The following is a 9,328-nucleotide window of genomic DNA, read 5'->3' as shown; positions in this document are numbered from 1 at the left end:
CTTCTGACAGCAATTTGAAGGGGCTGAAAGGGGGCTAATCCCTAAGGACCAGTGGTTGGTAGCCTACGTAAGACTCCCTGGTGGGTAAATTTCACTCAGACCATTTGCTGTGATCTACGAATCTCCTATATGCCTTTCTAAACTCAACTCTGTGCTTAGACTCTGGTACATTCCACTGCAGCCATACCAGCCTATGCTGTCCCTCTAACACGTGTACAACACACAAGCCATGCCCTGTTTGGAATGTTCTTCCCCAAAATATCACTGCCAGTGACCTTGCTTCAGGTCTTTATTCAAAAACTGACCTCATCCTTACCCTGATATTCCAGAATACCATTCTGCTTTATTATTTGTCTTCCACACTTAGCACTATTCAACATAAAGCACTAGAATATAAGCTCCACGAGGGTGGAAACTTTTGCTCTTATTTGCTGTTCTATTCTGCAGCACATCAAACAGTGCCTGGCACACAGCAGGTGCTCAATAAATATTTATTAAATGAATATGTTCAGGATGCTCAGAGGAAGATCCCACCAATCATCAAACCAGGAAGGAAGGGATCTGGTCTCCACTTGTGTGTGGCTGAGATGTGTTCTGAGATGGCCCAGTGTCCGAGTTTTATTCCCTCACCTACTGAGAACAGGGACCTGCCCTTTGACAGCTGAATCTTGGGAGGCAACAGTCTGATGCAAAAAAAAAAAAAAAAAAAAAAAGTAGGAACTCAATTCCCCTGTTTACAATTAGGAAAAGGGGGATTTAGAAGCTTAACAGAAAGGGCATTGCACCAAGACAGCCCAGCCCCTTTGCAAAGGTTCAACACCACACTGCACCTCTAGAATGCAGCCTGTGGGGAGAGTCCCACACCTGCTGCTGCTGACTCTTCTTTCAAACTTCATCTCTCTGGCAATCCTCTCCTCACCCTGAAGGCCAGCTGGGTCAGAAACATTTTTTTTTTTTTTTTTTTTTTTTGAGACAGAGTCTCACTCTGTCACCCAGGTTGGAGTGCAGTGGCGTGATCTCAGCTCGCTGCAAGCTCCACCTCCCAGGTTCAAGTGATTCTCCTGCCTCAGCCTCCCGAGTAGCTGGGACTACAGGCACCCGCCACCATGCCCGGCTAATTTTTTTGTATTTTTAGTAGAGATGGGGTTTCACTGTGTTAGCCAGGATGGTCTCGATCTCCTGACCTCATGATCCACCCGCCTCAGCCTCCCAAAGTGCTGGGATTACAGGCTTAAGCCACTGCACCCGGCCCAGAAACATTTTAATTTTGTGCTTATTTACATCATAGCAATTAGGGTGAATTATTAATATCACCAACAAGTATCAATTGTTGAGCTCTTATATTATTAGATACTGTGCTAAGTGTCTGCAAACATTATCTCATACTATCCCTACCACAGCCCTGTAAAGTAGGTATTACCCCATCTGCCATGTTAAAAAATAAAATCTCTGTCTCAATCCCACCTGTAGATACTATCCCAAATTTTTGCTCCCTTTTATGGGGAGGGTTGGTCTCACTTTGGCTTTTAGCTCACCACACTGTTCTCAGATTCCTGCGCTGATTTCTCATGTCTCCAGTATCTGAAAGTCACTTGTTCCTTGGACCACATCTTTTTCTCTGGCTCCTCTCATATCTCATTCAGTTTCATGGCTTTAAACTTTATCTATATATCCCCAGTCCAGATCTCGCTGCTTAACTTGATCCGTCGATCCAACTGCCTACTCAACATCTCCCCTTCGATGTCTGATGGGCATCTCAAATTTAACATGTCCGAAACAATTCCTGATCTTCCCCTCCAGAATCCCCCCTCCTGCGATCTTTCCCATCTCACCCAAGGGCAACTCCATCCTTTCAGTTATTTAAGCCAAATACACTGGAGTCATCCTCCACTCCCACTTTATCTCTTAGACCCCACATCTGATCCATCAGCACATCCTGTTGGCTCAGTCTTAAAAATATATCCAGAATCCAGCCACTTACCACCTCCTGACTACCACTCCAGTCTAGCACCATTATTTCTTGCAAGAAGGATTGCAAGCCTCTCCCAACTAGTCCCCTGCTTCAACCTTTGCTCCTCAACATAGAAGCCAGAGTGGTCCTATTAAAACTTCAGATCATGTCACTCCTTAGCCTAAAACTCTACAATGGCTTCCTACCACACTCAAGGAAAAGCCTGAATTCTTACAGTGGCCTACAAGGCCCTGCAAAATCTAGCGTCTGGGATGCTCTTCCCTCAGACACCTCCCTAGAACACCTCACTCTTCATTTCCTTCAGGTCTTGGTTCAAATGTGACCTTCAGTGATGCCTTTTTGTGACCACCCTATTTAAAATTGCTGGCCAGGCACGGCTCATGCCTGTAATCCCAGAACTTTGGGAGGCCAAGGCGGGTGGATCACTTGAGGTCAGGAGTTCGAGACCAGTCTGGCCAACATGATGAAACCCCATCTCTACTAAAAACACAAAAACTAGCCAGGTGTGGTGGTGGATGCCTGTAATCCCAGCTACTTGGGAGGCTGAGGCAGGAGAATCGCTTGAACCCGGGAGGCAGAGGTTGCAGTAAGCCAAGATCGTGCCACTGCACTCCAGCCTGGGCGACAGAGTGCAACTCTATCTCAAAAAAATAAAAGATAATAAAATAAAATTGCAGCTCCTACCCCCACCCAAACACCTCAGCCCCCGCCTTTTTTTCCAAAACATGTATCACCATATAAATACATTTTAGTTGTCTTTCTCCCTGATACTAGAATGTAAACTCCAAGACGTGGCGGATTTTTGTACCTTTTGTTTACCATGTATTCCCCATCACCTAGAGCAGCGCTTGGTAGAGTGGGGACAGATGGAGAAATACAGTCTCGGTCAAGTTTCTTACCCAAAGTCTTACTAGTAAGTGGCATGTTGGATTATAGAGCCCCAGGCTTAATCCTAATACTTTACCTGTTATTGACCATCATCCAGAGAGCCAGAGGGGAGCTCGGACTCAGCCAAGGGCAGAGTAAGGCAAATCTGCTTCCTGAGTATTGGCGGTCCCGGCTTCACAGGTTTTTAGAACACACAGAGGTATCTTCCTAGCTGTTTCTGGTCAAACTGTTTAGGAAATCCTCCTCCCTGGAAATCATCCTGGATAACAGAGAAGAGCCCAAGATTTCCTTATCCATATTGTCTAAATGGGACTATCCCATTCCACAATGGATTATATTTGCCTTCCCACAAAACTGAACTCAGCCTGGCACACATCGTTCAAGTTACTTGCTCACATCACTGTGGTCTTAAAATGTTTCTGGATAAAAGTTTTGGATTACAAATTATCTGTAATTTTCTTTGTTTTGCCCTTAGGATAGAACGTAAGGCCCTTAAGTGGTAGTTAGCTTTCTGCTAATGATGGCAGAATACTCAAAACCATCAAAGATATAGAAAGTATATAAGAACATGGCCAGGAGTGGTGACTCACACCTGTAATCTCAGCATTTTGGGAGGCCAGGGCAGGCAGATCACAAGGTCAGGAGCTTGAGGCCAGCCTGGCTAACATGGAGTAACCCCATCTCTACTAAAAAATACAAAAATTTGCTGGGCACGGTGGCTCACCCCATAATCCCAGCACTTTGGGAGGGCAAGGTGGGCGGATCCCCTGAGGTCAGGAGTTTGAGACCAGCCTGGCCAACATGGAGAAACCCCGTCTCTATTAAAAATACAAAAATTAGCCAGGTGTATTGGCCCATGCCTGTAATCTCAGTTACTCGGGAGGCTGAAGCAGGAGAATCACTTGAACCTGGGAGGCAGAGGTGGCAGTGAGCCAAGATCATGCCACTACACTCAATCCTGGGTGACAGAGAGACAGAGAGTCTTAAAAAAAAAGAAAGAAAAGAAAAAAATACAAAAATTAGCCGGATGTGGTGGCTCACATGCCTGTAATCCCAGCTACTCAAGAGGCTGAAGCAGGAGAATCTCTTGAACCTGGGTGGTGGAGGTTGCAGTGAGCCGAGATCGCACCATTGCAGTCCAGCCTGGGCAACATGGTGAAACCCCATCTCTACTAAAAATACAAAAAATTAGCCAGGCGTGGTGGCGCAAGCCTGTAATCCTAGCTACTTGGGAGGCTGAGGCAGGAGAATCGCTTGAACCCAGGAGGCGGAGGTTGCGGTGAGCTGAGATCGGGGCATTGCACTCCAGCCTGGACAACAAGAGAGAAACTTCTTCTCAAAAAAAACAAAAACAAAAAAAGCAAGTAGAAGGTTTCCACAGGGAGGGGAATATCACATGTAGGATCAGGGGTAACAGTGAGCATATAAAATATAAGGGCAAGCGGGGACCATCATTTGGTACTAAAACCACTGAACTGATCCTGGGAATTCTCCTATCCTAAACAGAGGCAGAATTTACAAGCAGTTCTCAGACCTCAGCAAAGGGCCAACTCAGATAAAGCCAGTATATACACACAACAGAGATTCAACCTTAGATTCAGAGCTTAACTCTGCTGGAGTTGTGCCATTTTACCCAAGGCTTTGACCTACTCAATTTTGCCCCTGCTGCACATCCACCAGGTCTTTCTTAGGGTGCAGAGTGCCATCTATTCCTTCGTTGGTGGGCCTATCTACTCTTCCCTTGATTGGTCAATTTCTTAGGAACCTACCAGTATCCTTTTGGCCATCCCTATGCCTCTGCCATCCATAAAGTGTGGGTGACTAAGTCAGTCACATATTTAAAAGCTAATTACTGCCACCATATGTAAGGAAAACCAAAGAGGCAGCTGGAGCAGACCAGGCAGGCCCAACAATTTGAGGTTATAAAAATAGAGAAGGAATGATTCCAAATGAAGCTTCCAAGGAAATATCTGCAAGAACTGGTGATACTCTGGAGCAAAGCAGGAGCAAGACACTGAAGAGACTCTGTGTAAAGCACAGTGGTGGCACTGACACCACTCATCATTAGGGCTATTTCTTCATTCCACTCTTCATTGCTAGCACCCAGTTCCTCTCAGGTAATAAACATATGTTCAGGTAACAAATGATACACAAATTAAAAAAATGATACACAAATATCAAACTAAAGACAAAGTACATACATTTGCGTTGGCAATGTTTAATGTTTCACTTTTGCAGAACTGAAATTTGTATTCAAAGGCACAGAAGGAAGGAAAGGCAGTTATCAGAGCATGAAGTCACAGATAAAGGATGCTGAATAAAAGCATAGGACTGCTCCTCTTTAGCCTTAGGAAAATAAATAATGCAGTATTAAACTAGATTTTTATTTTTATTATATTTCCATGTGAAGACATCACCCAAATGTCAGCGGAGCAAAAGACTTTATGGTCAGATACCAAAGGCGTACAGTTGATCCCACTTTGGAATAAATGCCCAGAAGGTAATAAGCATTATCAGTGAGTGAGAGCTCTAGGCACAAAATAAGTTCTCATTCAGAAAGTGGACAGAGATATGAAGCAGTGAAACATATAGCTTTAAAAACTGGAAATCATTCATGACATTTGTTTTCAAAGTAAACATTATCTGCATTTCAAGAACTGTAATTTTCAAAAGTAGAATCAGGCCTGATTAAGTAATATTTATGACTTACAGATAAAATTACAAAAATAAAAATGAAAACTCTTCTGCCCTTGAAAGAGATAGAAAACTATATTTTTTTCCCTGTAATGTCACAGAGATTCATCAGTATTTCATCCTTATGTCGCTTAAAAAATGTTATTTTTAATTCGTCTTTCCTGTTCTGCCACTTTTAACATAGCAAAACGTGTTTAATATGGCCATCTCTGCTGAGTGAAAGGATGTATTATTTACTGCATGAATGAGAAGAAGCTACAATTTACCTCCAATGGGATCATATCTACCACGTGGGAAAAAAAGATAAAGACACGGATTTTCCAAAAAACAAAAGAAACAAACAAACAAAAAAACCCCACAAAACTCAATGATTTAAAATATCCTATACATAATTTCTAACTTCAAAGCACTATGAGAAACTCTTGATCACTGTGTAGCAAGAAAGGGAAGAAAGAAATTAAAAATTTGGTAGAATAGGAGAGCATTTTTCTAACTACTTTCATTTAAATAACATTGGCCTTACCAACTATTACCTTTCTTATTTAAAACACTGATTCACCAGGTGAAATCATAACAGCATGAAAGTAAGACCAGATTTCAAGTTAGGTGTGAGCACAATGATTCAGGACCACTGTTTCCACCTCACAGAAAGGATTCCTGTGGTGATGCTCCCTCTTTCAAACATATGCCCTCAAACACCTCACATGCAGATTCCATATAAGTATACAAATAAAACGAGTTCTGTATTTTTCCAAATAATTTTACAACTTGATGGTAAATTAGATGTCAAAGATAAAACTATGCCTTTAAAAACATTAAGCTTCAAAATTCATTCAGTGTTTTAAGAAATGAATTATTAAAATCATTTTTAAAATGACATATTAAATGTATTTAAATCTGGGCTTTTCTGTACTTAATTTTTCTTCTAAAAAAAAGTTTAAAAACATCAAGAGCTGGAACATGCTGCCAGGACAGAAATAATCAGAAATGTCTTCAGTCACAGATCCTGGACATCTCAGTGTTGCTTCATAGTTTTCAAAGCTTGAAGTCTCTCTAGCAGTGGAGGATGAGAATAATGCCACATTGAGAACAACCAGTCAGAAACAGGGAATCCCAAGTTATCTTTGTTAAGTTTGATTAAAGCAGAATATAAGTCTTTAGCCTTCCCAAGTTTCTTGGCAAATGCATCAGCTTGAAACTCAAATCTGCGGCTTAGGACTGTTAGGCAAAAAGAAAGAACCTGAAAAAGAAAATGAAAGGGTTTTAGCCACTGCCCACCTCTTTGTTGTTACTAAAGGTTCCATGAGCTGAGACTGTAGAGAAGTTTGGCTTGGGATAAGAGGAATGGCAGGACAAAAGAAAGATCACTAATATTTAGGGGACCTAGGGTGAGGAAATTATAAATTGAGCCTTATTCTCCCCCAAGCAAACAGGCCAGAAACACATATAAAAGTTAAACATCCCTAACCAAAAACTTGAAATCTGAAATGTTCCAAAATCTGAAACTTTTGAGTGCTGACATGAGACTCAAAAGTCATGCTCAGGCCGGGTGTGGTGCCTCACACCTGTAATCCCAGCACTTTTGGGAAGCTGAGGCAGGTGGATCACCTGAGGTCAGGAGTTCGAGACCAACCTGGCCAACATGGTGAAACCCTGTCTCTAGTAAAAATACAAAAATTAGCTGGGCGTGGTGATGGGTGCCTGTAGTCCCAGCTATTCAGGAGGCTGAGGCAGGAGAATTGCTTGAACCCGGGAGGCGGAGGTTGCAGTGAGCCAAGATGACACCCCTGCACTCCAGCCTGGGAGACAGAGCGAGACTCCATCTTAAAAAAAAAAAAAAAAAAAGAGTTTTAAGATAATACATCTCAGTTCTCTGCCAAATTTATTTTTGTTTATGTGGACAATGCTATATGAATATGATCTATGCCCCTCCATTTTTCTTTCCTGGTGTCCCCACCATACATAATAGAAAAATATAATTCATTTAGCTCATCTTAACTCTACAATCTATCCCAAGAAAGAATTCTTCTGAATGGAGATACCTCAAGATCTTCAATATTATTTCTTAGCTTAATTTGGAAGCCTTACCAAACATCATGAAATGATGCCATTGTCAGGTTTGTTATATAGTCTCACATTAACCTATGTATTATCACTCACACGGAATACCCCTAATGAGCTAACACAGAGCAATGTTCTTAAGTTTCATTTACCACAAAATACCCGATTTTGATTTTGTGGGTTTGGGTGGATCCCTCAGGCTATATGGAGGCAGGTGGTCATGGAGCAGAGGAACAGTCACTAAGCCTCCCTTACTGAGCTGTACCAATTAGTGTTTGCTTTGTCCCCTCATACACATAAGATTTTTACCCAAGCACTGGTGAATATGTGGCCTAGGACACAACATTCCAATAGTTAATCTCCATCTACCGAGTCCTTTTAGGTGTTCACCACTGAAGTCTAGTTTTCTACTTATACTTTCCTAAGAGTATGCAAACGTTTATTTATTTGGGCTTGAATTTTTCTGCTACTTTGTCATACTGACCAGTGAATCAGGGGACTAAAAGACTTTGTTTCATCTATTTGTTAAAACTGTACTGTTCTATTTCCTTTTTCACTATCCTGAAAGCTCTAGATTTGAAGCAGGCAAGAGCATATGTGTGATAATTTTAAAGATCATACATTACCTCATTGTAAGGTGAAAAAATAAACTGGAAGATGATCAATAGTCCAATAAGAGTGGGTTGGCTATCATAAAAACCAAATGCAGCAAAAAGCTCCTTTCGACCAATTAATACAGCAAATAAAAAAAAACACAGGAAAGAATTCATCTAGAAAGAAGGACATGAAATTTCTAAGTTATTACCAAGCTGATTTCACTATGGGATCAGTAGCATCCATAAAGTATAAGAAATCACAGTGTGGCCGGGCGCGGTGGCTCACGCCTGTAATCCCAGCACTTTGGGAGGCCAAGGCGGGTGGATCACGAGGTCAGGAGATTGAGACCATCCTGGCTAACATGGTGAAACCCCGTCTCTACTAAAAATGCAGAAAAAATTAGCCGGACGTGGTGGCGGATGCCTGTAGTCCCAGCTACTCGGGAGGCTGAGGCAGGAGAATGGCGTGAACCCGGGAGGCGGAGCTTGCAGTGAGCTGAAATGGCGCCACTGCACTCCAGCCTGGGCAACAGAGTGAGACTCCATCTCAAAAAAAAAAAAAAAAAAAAAAAAAAAATTCATAGTGTGATTTTAAGAAAGGTATTAGTGTGATCACAGAACAAATTATTTAAGTAGCTTTTTTTGAGACAGATCTCACTCTGTCGCCCAGGGTGGAGCTCAGTGGCACGATCTCGGCTCACTGCAAGCTCCGCCTCCCATGTTCACGCCATTCCCCTGCCTCAGCCTCCCGAGTAGCTGGGACTACAGGCGCCCCCCACCATGCCCGGCTAATTTTTTGTATTTTTAGAAGAGACGGGGTTTCACTGTGTTAGCCAGGATGGTCTCAATCTCCTGACCTCAGATGATCCACCCACCTGGGCCTCCCAAAGTGCTGGGATTACAGGCATGAACCATACTGCCCCGCCAGTAGTTTTTAGTTTCACTTTTATTTCAAAAGTAAAATAAAATGTTCCCAAATGTATAAACTGTATCATTTTCTATAAGGGCAAGCTTAAGTTGAGGCTCCTATCATTGAGGGTTTGAAGTGGTCAATAGCAATGGGATATTTTCTCTCTGTAAAAGGGTGAAGGGCTAGAATGGATTCTGGCCTTGTTTT

At 42.3% G+C, this 9,328-nt stretch overlaps 1 protein-coding gene across 2 annotated transcripts in view, besides 1 other annotated feature; it reads right to left on the bottom strand.

Annotated features, from left to right (window-relative positions):
- Positions 808–887: an enhancer, noted in NCBI's record as "active region_839". NCBI's record gives its function as "activates an Ori minimal core promoter by ATAC-STARR-seq in GM12878 lymphoblastoid cells {active_cell/tissue: GM12878}" and the evidence as "EXISTENCE:reporter gene assay evidence [ECO:0000049][PMID:35858748]".
- The window catches only part of ZMPSTE24 (zinc metallopeptidase STE24), a 35,945-nt gene continuing 31,675 nt past the window's right edge, over positions 5,059–9,328 (bottom strand). For both annotated transcript variants that reach the window (NM_005857.5, XM_047427582.1), the window contains 2 exons: positions 8,242–8,385; positions 5,059–6,794 (listed from right to left, as the gene is read on the bottom strand). In NM_005857.5, coding sequence (NP_005848.2) covers positions 6,570–6,794; positions 8,242–8,385 — 369 coding nt within the window. In that variant the 3' untranslated portion in view covers positions 5,059–6,569. The remainder of the gene's footprint in view (positions 6,795–8,241; positions 8,386–9,328) is intronic.

This window comes from Homo sapiens, chromosome 1 (assembly GCF_000001405.40).
Source record: "Homo sapiens chromosome 1, GRCh38.p14 Primary Assembly".
Taxonomy (NCBI): Eukaryota; Metazoa; Chordata; class Mammalia; order Primates; family Hominidae; genus Homo; species Homo sapiens.
The sequence above is the reverse complement of the archived record's forward strand: the minus strand, read 5'-3'. Positions and strand labels throughout refer to the sequence as shown.